Source organism: Homo sapiens, chromosome 5, assembly GCF_000001405.40.
Source record: "Homo sapiens chromosome 5, GRCh38.p14 Primary Assembly".
In the NCBI taxonomy this organism is placed as follows: domain Eukaryota; kingdom Metazoa; phylum Chordata; class Mammalia; order Primates; family Hominidae; genus Homo; species Homo sapiens.
This window is the reverse complement of record NC_000005.10, coordinates 33503328-33522880: the sequence shown is the minus strand read 5'-3', so window position 1 is coordinate 33522880 and position 19553 is coordinate 33503328. Positions and strand designations below refer to the sequence as shown.

Sequence of the window (19553 nt, the reverse complement as noted above, 5' to 3'; positions counted from 1 at the left end):
TCTAATACTGCAAAGCCCAGCTCAAATGCTACTTCCCCTGGGACACCTACCCTGACGCTGCCAGAAAGACAGGGTCCATTTTCCGTTATACTCTGCTCCCACTATACTGGGTACATTTTCCACTAGAAAAGTAGCTCTTAATTGAGAGTGATTTTTGTTCCGCAGGGGATCTTTGACAATGTCTGGAGACATTTTTGATTTTCACAACTGGGCAGTGGGGGAGGGAGGGAGTGCTACTGGCATCTAGTGAACAGAGGCCCAGAATGTTGCTGAACATTCTGTGGGACGACATTCCCTCAACAACAAAGAATTGTCTGGCTCATAATGTCAATAGTTCCAAAGTTGAAAAACCCTGCACTAAAACAATTATCACCTTGTAGTGAGTAGCAGGGGATCTTGGTTGAGTAAAACCAAGCTTTCACTAAAATTCAGACTTCTCGAAAGGACTGATGAGGTAGGTCAGAAAACCTCAAAAGGACTAAAAAATACATCAGGGTTCAAAGCACACCAGCTTGATTAAAGAATCTTGATGTTGAAGGGGATACAGGATAATGAGCACAGCTCAAAAGAGTCTTAAACCAGCCCCTGGGGACAAAGGTGTTTCGATCCTAGAACTGAGGCAATAAATCAAAAGCAAGCAAAATGGAAAACTGGTGTGTTAGTTTGGATTAATCATCCTCCTCTAATTGAGATTTCTAATCAAACTGAGAATACACATAATCAGCCAGATCAAAATATCGGCTTCAGTAGTGGTGAAGCTGGCTTGGAGAGCATGTCTTGGGTGCAAATGGAAAAAGGGTTTTCCTACCCTTCACATCTGCATCCCCCCATGGCAAGTAGCTGGAGATCTGCAGGCCTCCCTCCAGTGGTTCTCTGAACTCCAGGCTTCAAGCTCAAGAGAGATGGGAATGCAGTAGAAAGAAACAGAGAGAAATGGACCACTCAACCTATTAACCTCAGTTAATAGGAGTCTCATGGCCATCAAACTTTCACCAACAGAAGCACCCTCTCCTGCCCTGGGAGGAGCATGTAAAAGGGTTATCATAAAGACCCCAAAGGGATATCTCAATACTATCCACTCTGGAAGTGGAGGATTCATGCCCCTATGGGAAAGAGGTAAGATTAGCGTGAAGGAAAAAGCGGGTAGAGGAAACATTGATTAAAAACTACCACATGGGCTGAACACAGTGACTCATGCCTATAATCCCAGCACTTGAAGGCCGAGGTGGGAGGATCACTCCAGACCAGGATTTCAGGACCAGCCTTGGCAACATGGTGAGACCCCATCTCTGAAAAAAAAAAAAAATTAATTAGCTGGGTGTGGTAGTGTCCACCAGGAATCCCAGCACTTTGGGAGGCCAAGGTGGGAGGATCACTTGAGGCCAGTTTGAAACCAGCATAGGTAACATAGTGAGACCTTGTCTCTACAAATATATATATATATATATATATATATATATATATATATATATATATATATATATTTTATTACCTGGATGTGGTGTTGCATCCTTGTAGTCCTAGCTACTTGGGAGGCTGAGGCAGGAGGATTGCTTGAGCCTAAGTGTTAGAGGCTGTAGTAAGCTATGATCAGGCTACTGCTCTCCAGCCTGGGCAACAGAGCAACACCCTGTCTCAAAAAAGAAAGAAGTATCAAATTTCAAGTTCTAAATAGAATAGATCCTCATTATTTGCAGTTCCATATTTGCAAATGTACCTACTTGATAAAATTTGTTTGTGGCAACACTTTTGCAGACATGCACAGAGTACTGAAAAATTCCAGTCATCCTTATACATATGTTCCAACGATGAGATACTTTCCTTTTTTTCTTTTTCTTTTTTTTTTTTGTGACAGTCTCGCTCTGTCACCCAGGCTGGTGTGCTGTGGCACAATCTCGGCTCACTGCAACCTGCACCTCCCGGGTTCAAGCAATTCTCCTGCCTCAGCCTCCTGAGTAACTGGGACTACAGGCACAAGCCACCATGCCCAGCTAATTTTTGTATTTTTAGTAGAGACGGGGTTCCACTGTGTTGGCCAGGCTGGTCTCGAACTCTTGACCTCAGGTGATCTGCCTGCCTCGGCCTCCCAAAGTGCTGAGTTTATAGGCATAAGATACCATGCCCAGCCTTTTGCCTTCCTTTTCAAGGCCTGTTTAGTGCCATGTCTTTTGCATGTTTGTTTTGGTGTTTTTTCTATTTCAAATGGCCCTCAACTGCAGGGCTACAATGCTGTCTGGTGTTTTGAAACACAAGAAGGCTGTGATGTGCACACTAAAATTTGAGAGCCATTGGGTTAGAGTCATTTCCACAGAATACAGCGTTATATAACCATGGGGTTTAGAGGTGAGGCAGTCATAATGTGTTATATTATTATTAGCCTGCAAGAAGTATGGTACCTGTCCAAAAAGCCTGTACAAGAATGTTCATTACAGCTTTATTCAAAATCATCAAAAACTGGAAACATATCTGGCATCCATCAACAGACAAATGAATAAACAAATTGATATATTTATTCAGTGGAATATTACTCAGCAATAAAAAGGAATAAACTATTGATACAGCAATATGAAAAAAAATCTCAAAACTTTATGCTGAGTGCAAGAAGCTTTACCCAAAAGAGTACCTACTATATAATTCTTTTTTTTTTTAATTGAAAAGAGGCAAAATCAGTCTACAGTGGAAAAAATTAAGAACAGTGGTTGCCTCTAGGGGTTGGGTGGGGGTGATGGCTGACTTGGAGGGGTGTATGGGACATTCTTAGGCTTCACCCCCAGAATTTCTGATTCAGAACCAAGAATCTGCATTTCTAATAAGTTCCCAGGTGATATTGATGCAGCTATTCTGAAGAATTACACTTGGAGAACCACGGCTCTAACCTAGCCTCTTCAATTGAAGAAGCAGACACCTCTGGTGCCCATGTCACATTCCCGAAGGCCCATTTAAGTTCTGTATGTGCTCAAAGTCCCCTTGCCTCAAGCACATGCCATGCATCTATCTGCCCTCTGTTCCAGAGCACCCTCACCTATGCACAGCTCTGAAGTGCAAAGGAGTTAAGACCACTGGGCCTCCCATGCTTCAGATGCACCAATCTGGGAGGATTCTGCATGCTTTGTATGAGGTCCCAGCATTGTTGAGCCCCAGTTGCCCACAGCAGCAAGCTCTATAACACACTGCCAGATTTGCCTTTCTTCTTCCCGTCTCACCCTTCCTATTCTCTTGCTTTTATTTCCTAAGATCACCTCCTAAATAAACTACTTGCATCCAAGTCCTTGTCTCAGGCTTTGCTTTGGGGAAGTAAGATAACTGGGTGGATGTTGGGAAATGAAAGGACACTGAATATGATGAGTACAAGGGAAGTGTATGGGTCTGTTCTCATGATGCTAATAAAGATATACCTGAGACTGAGTAATTATAAAGAAAAAGAGGTTTAATGGACTCACAGTTCTTCATGGCTGGGGAGGCTTCACAGTCATGGTGGAAAGCGAAGGAGGAGCAAAGGCACATCTTACATGGCAGCAGGCAAGAGAGATTGTGCAGGGGAACTGCCCTTTATAAAACCATCAAGATTTCATGAGACTTATTCACTGTCAAAATAACAGCATGGGAAAAACCCACCTCCCACCTCCCACTGAGTCCCTCTCATGACACATGGGGATTATGGGAACTACAATTCAAGATGAGATTTGGGTGGGGACACAGCTAAACCATATCATATAATGTCAGCATCTGACATTATCGTAGAAGAGAAATATGGAGAACAATGGCCCTTATTGTGCTGCGTTGCTACCAAATCTGGCATTTCCCATTTGAACCTAGTGTGCCTACCTGATTCTCCCATGAAACAGAATCTACCCACTCTTTCAGTCTGGTCTTGGTCAGGCCACAGCCCAGGGTGGTAGTGTGGTGTCACAGAAGTGAGTACAGATGGGTCAGTATCAAGCTCCACTCTTCTTTTTTTGGGAGGTGGGGAGTGGGGAGCAGGGTCTCGCTCTGTTGCCCAGGCTGAAGTGCAGTGGTGCAATCATAGTTCACTGCAGCCTTGAACACTTGGTGAAGATCCATTCTTCTTACGGGTCACTCATGCCCACTTCTCAGGCCACTCACTGAGTTCTGACCTCTCAGTCTCCCAGATTCTCTGCCTGACCTCTGAGTCCCTTTGGGAGTCTCTCAATCCCATTTAATGCCTCACATTGCAGAACTGGATTCTGCTTTCTTGGGCTTATGTCACTTTGCCTTACCCTTGTCATTGAAGAGAAAGATTGGTTAAAACAGCACTTCCCAAGCTCTTTACATATGGCACACAGAAAGATGATCATATTTGCCTAGCCCATTGCAGTAACTGTGAACCACTAGCAGCCAGATGTGACCAGGCCTGACCACCCTGAGCACTGAGGAGTTCAGTATCTTGGGCACACCTGTAGCCTCCATCCTGTCGGGTTGTGTGGTTTTGACTCTGAATCCTTCCTGTCTTGAGTTGTCTTAATTTGATGCCTTATAGATCTGTATCTAAGGTATGTGGGGGTCTCCTTTGCCCTAACTCCCTCCTATATGCCAGGCAACCTTAAAATACACCCTTATCCCCAAATATTAATAAACACAGACTATCAATACTCACAGGAACAGGAACTATGGTGCTCTGGAATTCAGGGAATGAAGTATTGTCTACCCACAGTGTAAAAGTATTTGGGGACAGTGAGCCCAGGTTTGGGTGCCCTCCATTCTTTCACATCCCAAGAAGCTGGCCTGAAAGTTATCATCCCTGCTCCCCTCATTCTGTTCATGGTGCATCTCTGCAGTCTGATTTTAGGGAGTCTTCCAGGGAAAGGGAATTCTTCTCTCTCCTAACTATTCTGTCTCCTAGTTGCCTTCTTTTCTCGAACCTCTTCCAGTTTTGCCTCACCCAGACCTGTGCATCCATGGCCAAGCTACTCAATTCCATATGGCCCCAGGTCATCATCATTGCCTTGGTCACAAGCTTGGGCCTGACTGTGCATCAGCTGTACCCTGGTGACTGTCTTCAGGAAGAGAGAAACTGCTCAACCCTAACAACATGGGAGAATCCACAGGAAAGGAAGACCCTTGTGAGGAGAAATTAGAATGGTAGACTGTGGTGGTGCTGATTAGCTAATAAGCAGGAACACGTTTCCTCAACTCCATGGAAATAATTGCAAATGGGTTTCAATGGTGGGAGCCACAAGGGACCAGCTTGAAGCTGGGGCTGCACAAAATGGCAATTTGTGTTCAACTGATGGTCTTGCATCTGTTTTAGATCTCAGACAATAGATGAGCTAATGAATTGTGAGATTGAATTAGCTCTCCTTGGCTCTTATGGATTAGAAAAGGAATTAGTTATATATTGCTGGGGGGATCAATAGCTCTTTTATGGCCTTTTTGCTCAACCAAAGAGCAGAACATTAAGTAAACTCTCCTTTGTCTGGTGGTTGGGGACAGACACCTCACTGAAATGCACATCTGAATCTCAGAAAGGGAAGCACACTGACAAATACACTAGGATCAGAAGATGCACGCTAACAAATACACTAACATTTCTTTTCTCCTTACTTAGGGAGACACAACTCAGGAAGCAAGAAGATTATTGTTAAACTAAATCATCAGATTACTGGAAGCAGGAAAATCAAAAGTGAAGGTGGTCAGCTGGGCATCTCCCTTGTAGGGATTTGGAACTGACTTTCCTGGTCTCAGGAAGCCCAGTTCACTCGTTCACTGAGACAGCCTTATTGTCGTAAGGAGCTTAATTAACACAAAGCCAGCCAAGTGGAAGGACTGGAGTTTCATTATCACTCAAATTAGCCTCTCGAAGAACTCGGAGACTAGGGTTTTATGGATAATTTGGTGAGCAGGGAGCTGGGGAATGGGTGCTGCTACTTGCTTGGGGATAAAATCTTGGGGGTGTGGAAAATGGTCCTCAGGAACTGAGTCAACCTCTGGGTGGGGGCCACAGGACTAGTTGAGTCATGAGTCCAGGGTCCGGGTGGGGTCAGTTGGTTGCCAGAATGAAAAAAATTCTGAAAAAAAACATCTCGAAAGACCAATTTTAGGTTTTACAATAGTGGTGTTATCTATAGGAGCAACTGAGGAAGTCACAAATCTTGTGACCTCTGGCCAGAGGTTCTGAGCAGTAGGGGATTATAGAAACTATGCCTGCATGTAAGCAGAATTGAGCCTCTCCCATAATCCTAATCTCATGGCCTTTCATTACTTTTACAAAGGCAGTTTTCGGTGGGAGCAAGGAAGGGATCAGTTTTAAGGAGGGACTGTTATCATCCTTGCTTCAAAGTTAAACTATAAACTAAATTTTTCCCATGGTTAGCTTGGACTATGCCCAGGAATGAGCGCCAGCCTCTGAGGCTAGAAGCAAGATGAAATAAACCATGCTAGACTTATCTCACTGTCATAATCTTTGCAAAGTTGGTTTCAATCATACCCCTAGAAATAGAATAAGTTGATATTTTGGTTTATATATTAGTTTCTTGTGAACTTGGTTAGTGTATGTTAATTCTCCTAAATCAGAGAAAATTTTCTAAAGCTGCCAAAACAAAGGTCAGACCTTGAACTATGGTTGTTACATTCCCCATAAAATGCCACTTCTTGAGGCCCAGTGGGAGCAGCCATCTGACCACCTACTGTGACATTGCAATCTCCACTCTCCCTGGTCTCACTCAACAAGTGAGTGGTAGGGATGTTCAGAGAATTTCAATGTCTAGCATAGCTCCCAGCATATAGTAAGAATTTCATAACTTGTGGAAATCATCTTTTTTCTTTTGTTCGCCCATTCATAGAAAAGATGTCTTGAAGGAGGAGGAAGCAGCAAACATAAAAGAGCTGGAGTAGGGGAGAGAGGAAAAGGTAAGAACACACAGGTCATGCTCAGGGACAAGAGAGCAGACGATGGGGTGGAGAATGTGGTAGTGAGAGGTGACAGCGTGCTGGCAGTCCTCACAGCCCTCACTCACTCTTGGCACCTCCTCTGCCTGGGCTCCCACTTTGGCGGCACTTGAGGAGCCCTTCAGCCCACCGCTGCACTGTGGGAGCCCCTTTCTGGGCTGGCCAAGGCCAGAGCCGGCTCCCTCAGCTTGCAGGGAGGTGTGGAGGGAAAGGCGCGAGCGGGAACCGGGGCTGCGTGGGGTGCTTGCGGGCCAGCTGGAGTTCCGGGTGGGCGTGGGCTTGGCGGGCCCCACACTCGGAGCAGCGGGCCGGCCCTGCCGGCCCCGGGCAATGAAGGACTTAGCACCCAGGCCAGCGGCTGCGGAGGGTGTACTGGGTCCCCCAGCTGTGCCAGCCCACTGGCGCTGCACTCGATTTCTCGCCGGGCCTTAGCTGCCTTCCCGCAGGGCAGGCCTCGGGACTGCAGCCCGCCATGCCTGAGCCTTCCCCCGCCTCCATGGGCTCCCATGCAGCCCGAGCCTCTCAAGGAGCGCGGCCCACTGCTCCAGGGCTCCCAGTCCCATCGACCGCCCAAGGGCTGAGGAGTGCGAGCGCATGGCGTGGGACTGGCAGGCAGCTCCACCTGCAGCCCCTGTGTGGGATCCACTGGGTGAAGCCAGCTGGGCTCCTGGGTCTGGTGGGGCCTTGGAGAACCTTTATGTCTAGCTCAGGGATTGTAAATACACCAATCGGCACTCTGTATCTAGCTCAAGGTTTGTAAACACACCAATCAGCACCCTGTGTCTAGCTCAGGGATTGTGAGCGCACCAATCAACACTCTGTATCTAGCTGCTCTGGTGTGGCCTTGGAGAACCTTTGTGTCCATACTCTGTATCTAACTAATCTGATGGGCAAGTGGAGAACCTTTGTATTTAGCTCAGGGATTGTAAACGCACCAATCAGCGCCCTGTCAAAACAGACCACTCGGCTCTACCAATCAGCAGGACGTGGGTGGGGCCAGATAAGAGAATAAAAGCAGGCTGCCCGAGCCAGTAGCAGCAACCTGCTCAGGTCACCTTCCACACCATGGAAGCTTTGTTCTTTTGCTCTTTGCAATAGATCTTTCTACTGCTCACCCTTTGGGTCCACACTGCTTTTATGAGCTGTAACACTCACCGCGAAGGTCTGCAGCTTCACTCCTGAAGCCAGCGAGACCACGAGCCGGGAGGAACGAACAACTCCAGACGCGCCGCCTTAAGAGCTGTAACACTCACCGCGAAGGTCTGCAGCTTCACTCCCGAGCCAGCGAGACCACGAACCCACCAGAAGGAAGAAACTCCGAACACATTCGAACATCAGAAGGAACAAACTCCAGACGCGCCACCTTAAGAGCTGTAACACTCACCGCAAGGGTCAGCGGCTTCATTCTTGAAGTCAGTGAGACCAAGAATCCACCAATTCCGGACACAGTAGGGTGTGTGTGTTGGGGTCACGGAGAGGAGTTGAGTAAATATCAGAGGCTGAAGTGCACAGATACAGTATCCTTCCCTGTCCATGCACTGTGGCAGGGGACTGAGGGCACAGCTTGGGCCATCTCAGAAGGGATTGGGGTGGGTACTTCCTCCCTGTGCTTGCACTAACCTGAATCCTCCTCTCGTCTCTGCTAATCCCAGCCTGTTTGCAGCTCAGGGAGTAAGGAAGCCATGTGCCGGGGGCTTCTCCAAAGTTGTGTATGGTTTCTCTGTCACGCAGGTGGTTGGTGTGCTCCTGCCCATCCTGGGACCTGAAAGTTGCTTGCTCCAGGTCTGCTCCTTAGGATCTTGAGGCCTGGGGTAAGAGTTCAATGGAAGGGCCACTTACCAAATGTATAAAGGTTTGAAAGTCATGAAACAAGCTACATTCTAGGCCTGGCCTCTGTTCTCATCCAGCATCTCACAGCCATCTCCCCAAGGATCAGCCATGTGACTGAGAGGCTAAATTAGCTAGCACTGGGCCAGCCCTGCCTCCTGAGAATTTGGTGGCACAGACCCAGGTCTCCAAGGTGACTAAACCCAAATCCCTGATGGAGACTGAGCTGGCCAAGCTCCCTAGGGAGTCTGGGAGGGGTAGGTTCCTTGCTCCCATGCCTCACTTTTCCACCTCATAACCTGCAACAATTCTAAAAACCTTCCAACAATATCACATGGGCAGAGAAAGGGGAGGGAGCCAGTTATCTGCAGACCTGGTCCACCCAGGCCCCTAGACACTCACCATGGGTGCTATGGGGTGGCGAAGTATAAGCAAGAGCACAGCTCTTTTCCTGGTTTCCTTGGGCCTAGCCTGTGATTTTTGCATCCCCAGCCTGCACTTACAGACTGTCAGGCCCACACCCTTCTCTGGCCTGGGGCGCCCAATGTGTGTATTGTATTTTGATAATTCTTACTCAGTCTGTTACAAAACTCAAAAGACTTTGTTACCAAGCCACAAGGACAGAAGTATTTGTATTTGAGCCTTTTGGAGTACTGGCCCGTAGAAAGCCAGGCTTGGGGCAGGGGCTCCTGTTGCCAGGCCTAGAAGCAATACTGCACGCTCCAGTGTAGTTCACGAGAATTTCCAACTATGAGCAGAGATGCTTGTGGGAAAAGAACCTTGTGGCCAAGTAGGGTCCAGGCTTATCTTGAGCAATAGGATAGATGAACGGCTGGGAAAGTTGTTGGCATGCTCCAGCCCTGAAGCCCAGGTTTCAGAGGGCCACTCAGGAAGGCAAGCTGTTAAGTCATGACTGACTGGCCAGAATGGGATCAACAAATTAGAACCAATGTTTCTTGAGCGCAAATTCTGAGGTGTGCTTCCACCCCACTTCTGGCCCATCAGCCTCCACTCCTGCCTAATGACAGGAATGTGATTCACAGAGGACCGAGAAGCAAAAGACATGGGCAGAGGGGCTATATGGGCAGGGCCTATTTCAAATGCATCAATTATCAGGCTGGGCACGGTGGCTCATGCCTGTAATCCCAGCACTTTGGGAGGCTGAGGTGGGTGGATCTCTTGATGTCAGGATTTCGAGACCTGCCTGGCCAACCTTACAAAACCCATCTTGTCTCTACTAAAATGAAAATAAAAATTAGCCAGGCATGATTGCACACACCTGTAGTCCCAGCCACTTGGGAGGCTGAGGAAAGAGAATTGCTTTAACCCAGGAGGCGGAGGTTGCAGTGAGCTGAGATCGTACCACTGCACTCCAGCCTGGGCAACACAGCAAGACTCCATCTCAAAAAAAAAAAATAAAGATCAAATGTACCAATTATCTTTTCTCTGCACTCAGACAAAGAAGCTAATTATCACTCTGAATCATTAATAAACTGTTGGGATTTCACAAAAAGTTCCCACATTTCACTCTAGGAAGCCAAACTCAGTAACTCCTTATCAAGTTATCAAGCATGACGTATACATCTGGGGACCGAAGTAACAGCAGAACCATTTGGGACTTTGCTTCTGCTGTTCCCATATAGGGATTACCGGGAATTGAATGCCCAGAAGGATTTCAGGACCAGGTGCCAAGAGACAGCATATCTGTTATCTCTTTCCACATCAGTACGACAGTGTTAACAATATTTGGCCTACCTCAGAACCTCTCAGTGTGGCTAGGGAGCTAAAACAGAGTATAGGAAAGGGCCTGGCAAAGATGGTGGGCCCAAGATACATCCACTGCCACTCAGCCACCCACAGGAGAGATTGTGTCCTTGAGAGTCATACCATCCACCTAATATCCCTCTTCCACTCCTCGTCTCTGTCATCTTTCATCCCTCCTCCATATTTATCAAGGCCTTTTGCTCCTGCTTCAGTCTTCCTTCTGGAAATAAAGACCAACCGAATGAGAAAAATAAAGTATATTTATTCTGAACTTACTATAGCAAGGGAGGCAGCCACTGTCAGTGTCCTTTGGCAGAGACTCAAGGACAGATAGAGAAGTGGGAAAACCTTATAGTGGACAAAAGGGAAGGCTTCAGGTGTGCCCTGATGGGAAGCTTTTGGCTTGGGAAGCTGTAGGAGGCTAACGAGAAGCAGTCATCCTATGTCATTGATTAAGGTGCATATTTGGCTTTCTCTGGTTGGTCCTAAATTACAAATCGGGACAAAAATTTGGGAGGCTTTCAGTTATTAATCAAGTCCTGATCATTTGGGGCTGATTGCTACAGGAGTTGTTTAGCTTCCTGGATTGTCACTAAAATATAGCAATCTAGGCTGGGCACGGTGGCTCACACCTGTAATCCCACCACTTTGGGAGGCCAAGACAGGTGGATCACTTGGGTCCAGGCATTCAAGGCCAGCCTGGGTAACATGGTGAAACCCCATCTCTACAAAAAAGTAAAAATGAATTAACTGGGTATGGTTGTGTGTGTCTGTGGTCCCAGCTACTCAGAAGGCTGAGGTGGGAGGATCACTTGAGCCAGGGAAGTGGAGGTTGCAGTGAACTGATTGTACCATTGCACCCCAGTCTGGGCAACAGAGTGAGACCCTGTCTCAAAAAATAAAGACAGCAACCTGGCTTCTTGCAATACTGACTTACAGCAGGCTGGCTTCCTGGGTTGTCTATTGTAGGTAAGGGGATAGGCTTCCTGGGAAAGTTGCTGTAGGTCGTGGGTCAAAGTTCTATGGTCTGGCCATTGTCTATTTGTGTATTCATTCTCACTTCCCATTGCCAGTTCTACTCTTTTTTTGAGAAATTCAGTGTCTAATGACCCATCTAACTCCCCAGCCCTGTGCTCTCAAACTTGAGTTTACACAAGTTACATGGAAGAACTTTTTTAAAATGTGAGCTGTTTGGCCCCAATTCCAGTGATTCAGGAGGATTTAGTAGGTCTGGTGTAGGCCCCAGAATTTTCAGGTGATGCAGATACAGATGGTCCAAGGGTCACAGAGCAGTCTTCTACTCTCTCAATTGCTTGGCCTGGTCAGCAGAATGGACCCAGGGTCTCTCAGAGGTCTTGAAGAGTTCTAGGCCATTTCTATTTTTAGAGGATTCCAGCATATTTAAAAATGAAGAATTGTCAAAGTTATCAAAATTTGAATGTTTATATGAATAGGTAGACGCGCGCACACACACACACACACACACACACACACACCTAACTGCATTTGAAGTAAACAGCCGAAGTCTAAACCTGAAGCCTTCCTAAGATGGTCAGCCTTGGTACAAAGTGTAGGTGCAGTGGTCCTGAAGGGAATATGCAGACCAACCTAAAGCCTTAGGGCTTCTTTCTTGCAGAAATAAGCCGGAAAAATAAAAGTAAATTTTTAAAAAGACACATTAACCAATAGAATATGAGTGCCCAGAAATAAACATATGGTGGACTGATTTTTTACAAAGATGCCAAGAACACACAATGGGGGAAGGATGGTCCCTTCAATAAATGAGAAAACTGGATATTCACATACAAAAGGATAAAAATGTACCTTTATCTCACCCCTCATACAAGAACCAATTCAAAATGAAATAAGATGTAAACATAAGACCTAAAACTATAAAATTACTGGAAGAAAACATAGAAAAAGCTCCATGACATGGTCTGGGCAGTGATTTTTTGGATATGACCCCAAGAGCACAGACAACAAAAGCAAAAATAGACAAATGGGATTGTGTCAAACTAAAAAGCTTCCGTACAACAAAGGAAACAATTAATAGCGTGAAGAGACAAGCCCCAGACTGGGAGAAAATATTTGTAAATCATTCATAAGGGGCTAATTAATATCCAAAATACACAAGGGAAATCAAACTATTCAATAACAAGAAAACAATCTTACTTACAAATGGGCAAATGACTTGAATAGACATCAAAAGAAGATGTACAGATGGCCAATAGATACATATTTTAAATGCTCAACATCTGTAACAATAAGAGAAGTGCAAATTAAAGCCACAATGAGCTATATCACCTTATACATGTTAGATAGGCTATCATCAAAAAGATGTAAGATAACAAGTGTTGGTGAGGTTTTTGAGAACAGGCAATCTTTATACACTGTTGGTGGTATTATAAATTAGTACAACCTTTTTGGAAGACAGTATGGAGGTTCTTCAAAAACCTAAAAATAGAATTACCATATGATCCAGCAATCCCACTACTAGGTATATACCCAAAGGAACTAAAATTAGTATGTGGAATAGATATCTGCACTTCTACATTTATTGCAACATTATTCACACTAGCCAAGATGTGGAAGCAACCTAAGCATTCATCAATGAATGAATACATTTTTATTTTTTTATTTTTTGAGATGGAGTCTCGCTCTGTCGCCCGGGCTGGAGGGCAGTGGCGCGATCTCGGCTCACTGCAAGCTCCGCCTCCCAGGTTCACGCCATTCTCCTGCCTCAGCCTCCCGAGGAGCTGGGACTATAGGCGCCCACCACCACGCCTGGCTAATTTTTTTTTTTGTATTTTTAGTAGAGATGGGGTTTCACTGTGTTAGCCAGGATGGTCTCGATCTCCTGACCTCGTGATCCGCCCACCTCGGCCTCCCAAAGTGCTGGGATTACAGGCTTGAGTCACCGCGCCCAGCCTGAATGAATAGATTTTTAAAAGGTGGTATACATACATACAATAGAATACGGTACTATTCAGCCTTTAAAAAAAGAAACGAACAACAACCAAAAAAAGCAAGAAATTCCGTCATTTGTGACAACATGGATAAACATAGAGGACATTACATTAAGTGAAATAAGCCCAGGCACAGATACTGTATGATCTCACAGCATGTGGAATCTAAAACATTCAAACTTACAGAAATAGAGTGGAATAGTGGTTACCAGAGGCTGCTGATTGAGTTCCTTGAAGCAAAGGTTTAGAGACTCTGGTGATGTTTTTCATACTCAGAGTGTCCTATCAATAAGGGCATGCATGAGCATGACCTGAGTATTTTGCCAGACTTCCTTAGTGGTCCAGATAGTGGCTGGTCCAGGGAGAGATCCAGCCTATGCATGGACTGCTGTAGTGATGAGACTTTTGAAGTACATATCAAATCATTGGGCTTTAACTCTCAATACTTTTTCAGATCCTTGGCGGGAGAGGGGTGGGAAGGCCAGCTACAAAGCAACCTAGGGTTCCAATAAGGATCTGAGCAGTTAGGATTTAATTCTCAGTGATGCCACATCAGGAAGTAGAGGGTTGTGGCTAGATAGTTTTAAAAAAAATTGAAGAATTGGAAATTTGGTAACAGTTGGCAATGAATGGAAGATGACAGGATTCAGTTCAATTTACAGGTAAGTAACATGTTAACATATTTTGGAGATTTTTTTCATATTCATTAGTTACCTACAATTAACAAAGAGATGTTATATAGCTCAAAAACTATGAATATGATCAGAATCTGATAATCCACAATAGTGTGCTATAATTTTCTATGAAAAACAAAATTTTTCTCAACAGTTACCCTTTTATGATCAAAGATAATCCCAAAGAAAAAATGTTCTTGATTATAAAATAGGGCCGATATCATTAGATTTGGCCTGATCGTTTACATAAATACAGCAAGAAAGGTAATTTATACCATAATAGACCTTTTTTAGTTTGCTTTACTGAAGTTTTTCATAAGGAATCTGAGATTAGACTTCTAAAAGCACGTCAAGGCTAGGAAGCCATGCCAAGAACTCACTACCAGACTTTACCTGCAGTAGCTTTAGATTTGGATGAACTCCTGTCTTCTCAAGGTTTCCAAAATATTGTAAAGTTCCTGGGCCTGCCAGGATGTGACCTTCCTTACTCACCTATAAGGCTGGGAACTCTGTAAGCCAAGTACCAGGCTGGGTTTTCCCAAGAGAGTTTTGTAGGCATTAGCTACATAAAATCAGCCTTAGCTACTAACAGTTGATTCTATGTTTCTATGATCATCATTCTCAAATATGACACTTCAGTCAAAGCTTTGGTTTATATAACCAATGTTTCTAATTATTTCCTGTTAACAAAGGGGTCAGACTCATTGAATCTATGCAGAAAAATTATGTTGTCATGAAATAAAAATATAAGAATTTGCAAATTCTGGAAGAATCAAGCCAAGGAAAAAATATAATTGTTTCAGTTCTGTTTACAAAAGTATAATCTACTAAATTGTTATGCATTACAAATAATGTAGAAGAAGAGAGAAGGAGGGTCCTTATAATCAAAACATAGAACAGTATCCACAAGATTCCAAACAAAATCCATAATCATTTTTTATCAGCCCTATGTAATTCGTTCATAGAACTATAATCCATTCAGTCACATATAATCACTTCTTATTCTGTTCAATCTTGGGTTAGCAATATTATTAACCCATTGGCTTCTCCACTAGAGTTCTAGAAATCTTGACTCAGTACAGTGGTATGGTCTCAAAAATAATTAAGAAATGCCGTCAGCCTGGGCCCAGTGACTCACGCCTATAATCCCAACACTTTGGGAGGTCAAGGAGGGATGACTGCTTGAGCCCAAGAGTTCAAGACCAGCCTGGGCAACATAGTGAGACCCAGTATCTACAAAAAATTAGATAACTAGCCAAGAATGGTAGCACACCCCTGTGGTCCTCACTACTTGGGAGGCCGAAGTGGAAGGATTGTTTAAGCCCAGGATGTCAAGGCTGCAGTGTGAGATGTGATTGCACCACTGCACTCCGGCCTGGGCAACATAGTGAGACTCTGTCTAAAAAACAAACAAACAAGAAATGCCATCAGAAGCTTGTGCCCTAGAAGCCTATGACTCAGAGTACCTGAAATAGTCCTTTCCATGGATCTCTGAGACAGTCCTTTTTTCCTAAAGATGACCGGGTACTTCTATACGTTTCCTCTCATTTCTCATATTTAACGAGACACTTTTCTATGCTTCAAATAAAAGTGAGATTGTTGACAAGTGATATGGTTTGTCTGTGCCCCCACTCAAATCTCATCTTGAATTGTAGCTCCCACAATTCCCACATGTCTTGGGAGAAACCTGGTGGGAGGTAATTGAATCATGGGGGGAGGTCTTTCCCATGCTGTTCTTGTGATAGTGAATAAGTTCTCACGAGATCTGATGGTTTTAAAAATGGGAGTTTCCCTGCACAAGCTCACTCTCTCTCTACCCACCACCATCCATGTAAGATGTGACTTGCTCCTCCTTGCCTTTGGCTGATTGTGAGACCTCCCCAGCCATATGGAACTGTAAGTCCATTGAACCTCTTTTTCTTCCCTGTCTCAGGGGTGTATGTCTTTATCAGCAGCGTGAAAACGGACAAATACAACAAGTAATTTCAATGTACTTTCCAAGTGAGAAAGGCGTAACCAAGATATAAACATGTAAAATACTGAAACATTCCCTTGATAAGAATTGAGTCCTTGGCTTTATATGAGATGAGCTCATTATCACTAGGTGTATTACAGGTTTACTCTAATTTCTCTAATTTGATAGATTTGGAAATAAGAAAGTCTTTGTTCTTCCTTCAAAAAATTAATACTAAAAAATTTTGAATTTCTAAGATTCAATTTTGTGCCATTAATTTTAAAAATGTATGAAGCTGATGTTTTGTGATTAAACTTTTAAGATTCAAATCCAAGGCAATAAGTGAATTTTAAAAATAACACAAGTGAAGGAGTAATAATCTTCAGGAAGCTGAGAGTTGTAGTCTGTAATTCAGGGATCTTGATTCAGTATTCATGTCAAATCTAACCAGAAAGACAGGCCTATATGAAACCTAAACTGAGTTTAAGCAAGGGTGAAGGCCGGGTGCAGTGCCTCATGCCTGTAATCTCAACATTTTGGTAGGCTGAGGCAGGAAGATAACTTGAGCTCAGGAGTTCAAGACCAGATTGGGCAACAAAGTGAGATCCCCATCTCTACAAAAAATTAAGAAAATTAGCCAGGCATAGTGGCTTATGCCTGTGGTCCCAGCTGTTCTGGAGGCTGAGGTGGGAGGATTGCTTAAGCCTAGGAAATCAAGGCTGCAGTGAGCCGTGATCACACCACTGTACTCCAGCCTGGGTGACAGAGCAAGATCCTGTCTCAGAAAAATAAATATAAATAAATAAAATAATTAATTAATTAAAATAAATTAACTGGAGGAAGGTGAGTAATAAAATCTTGCAACTTTGTTCAGTTAAAACAAAGGGAAAGAATTTCCTGGCATCATGCCACAAAAATTTGATTCAGCATTTTAAAAATTTACCCCTACATCTCCTTTTGTATCTATCAACTATAAAGTGGGCTTTTTTAAAAAAAAGAATATTATATTTTCTAAAGTATTTTTCTAAAATAATTTGGTTCTCAAAAAATGCTACAGCCTATTTATGCCATATGTGCTTTTTCCCCCAACATCAGAATAGAGGCCGGCTGTATAGAGAGGTTCCTGGTACCGAGAAGAAAGAAAAAAATGAAAGGATTGTCTCAGCTATCAATGGGTTGAAAGAAGACTTCTGTTTTAATAAAGTTGAAATTACATCTTATAATGAGTTTTTTTTCTTTTTTACTGGTCAGTCACATGAAAGGTATCATGTTCTGTTTAGTATACTACATTTTCAAAACAATATTAATAAAGAAAACTTTTTTTTTTTTTTGAGACAGAGTCTCACTCTGTCACCCAGGCTGGAGTGCAGTGGCACAATCTCAGCTCACTGCAACCTCTGCCTTCTGGGTTCAAGCAATTATCATGCCTCAGCCTCCCAAGTAGCTGGGATTACAGGCAAGTACCACCACGCCCGGCTAATTTTTTGTGTTTTTAGTAGAGATGGGGGTCTCACCATGTTGGCCGGGCTGGTCTCGAACTCCTGACCTCAGGTGATGTGAGCACCTCAGCCTCCTAAAGTGCTGAGATTACAGGCATGAACCACCGTGCCCAGCCAAGAAAACTTTAGAGAAGCATTCACCAAAGTGAATACTGGCGAACATAACACTGCAAACCTTCCCCCCCAAAAACAAGATTCCCAGGGTCAAATAGGATTAGAATACCCTGAATTCTCAGTACTCTTCCTACAGTTTCACACTGCACTTACCATATTAAAGGCTCTGGGAAGTCCTAAAAATATGGAAACTTTTTTCATTTAGCTTAGCACGTTATTTTCCAATTTTTTTTTCTTTTTCTTTGTCATAGCAACAATTGTCATTCTGCTCAATCTGATTTTGAAGAACATCACTTTAGGAAACACTAATCCAGAAAAGGACCAGAATGCTGACAATGTCTGTGTTTTATTGGTCACACAGGCCAACCCTCATACAACGTGGGAGGAGACTAGTAAAGGGTATGAATACCAAGCGGGTGGGGATTGCAGGGAGTCCTCTTGGAGGCTGGCTACCACATCACATTTTGAATAATTCTGGCAAAAAAAATGATTATCATCAGCTCATACTAAAACTCTTCCTGCTTTATACTTTTGCTAGATTCCATTCCAAAACTTGAATTGCTATCTTTGGCAAGTAATACAAAATATCACATGCTACATAATAGGTTTGATAGTTTTCAGTATGGACGACAGAGCCAAGCAGGTAGAAAAATTCAGCAGAGGGCCATGCAAAGTGGCTCACACTTGTAATCCTAGCACTTTGGGAGGCCAAGGCGGGTGGATCACTTGAGATCAGGAGTTCAAGACCAGCCTGGCCAACATGGTGAAACCCCGTCTTTACTAAAAAGACAAAAATTAGCTGGGTCTCATGGCATGTGTCTGCAATCCCAGCTACTCGGGAGGCTGAGGCAGGAGAATTGCTTGAACCCGGGAGGCAGAGGTTGCAGTGAACCGAGATCGCGCCATTGCACTCCAGCCTGGGGGACAAGAGACAAACTCCATCTCAAAAAAAAAAAGAAGAAAAAGAAAAATTCAGCATATTCTTTGTATTTTGTGGCTTTGTTAGGCAAAGACTATATATCCACACAAAAGACTCTTTGTGGTAGCATGATCAAACACTGAAATAGATGGCCTGAACATCCTGATATTTTTTTGGAGTGACTGATCAAAGGGAAGATAATGGCTTTCACTGAGCCCAACTTGGCAGGAACTGTTGGCCTCTGGCCTTCTCATTCCTGTACTCTAGCCACGTTGTCTCCTTTTATAAACTGAGTCCCAGCATCATGCATGATCAGTCCTGCCCCATGCTGGGAGTGGAAGAGGAGCTCCGAAGACAGTGTGCCCAGGGTCAAGCTCTATGCTTGGTGCTGGTGTCCAGTTTCTTGTTTCCTGTTGGCCTGGGCCTTCAGCTCTGTCTTTCAACTGTCCTGGAATTCTGGTGCCAGGGTCTGACCTCACTGATGTGGACTTGCTGCCTTGACCCACAAAACCTCCATTCCATGCTGACTGTCAACCCTGTTCCACACTCTCTGAACTAACTGGCTTTCTTGGACGTGACCTGTGTCCTGCCTCATTTTTTTTGTTTGTTTTCTTTTTCCACATATATATATATTATTTTTCTGTAAAATCTCCCAGTTCTTCCATAACTTATAAACATGATTTATACCGAGGGGTAGATGGGAAAGTGGACAGGGGCAGGGCAGACTGACCGGGGATGGGGAAGCTCCTCTCGCTGCCCCCTTGGAGCAGGCCCAGGCCCTTTGGAGGATGGGGACTCCAGGACATTCCTCCCTGAGGTTGTCTGGCTGCCTCTACCACTGGTGCTCAGAATCCTGTGTGCCACTCAATTCCAGAATCCCTTCTGGGACTGACCCCAGGGCCACTAGACACGCTGCCCCTGGTACTCAGA

The 19553-nt window shown here is 44.3% G+C and overlaps 1 long non-coding RNA gene across 1 annotated transcript; it reads left to right on the top strand.

The window, feature by feature from the left end:
* The first annotated feature begins 320 nt into the window (after positions 1-320).
* On the top strand, positions 321-6862 carry LOC105374717 (uncharacterized). Its single transcript, XR_925906.2, has 3 exons — positions 321-454; positions 5567-5853; positions 6801-6862. It is a non-coding gene; the product is annotated as an uncharacterized LOC105374717 (long non-coding RNA).
* The last annotated feature ends 12691 nt before the right edge of the window (positions 6863-19553 follow it).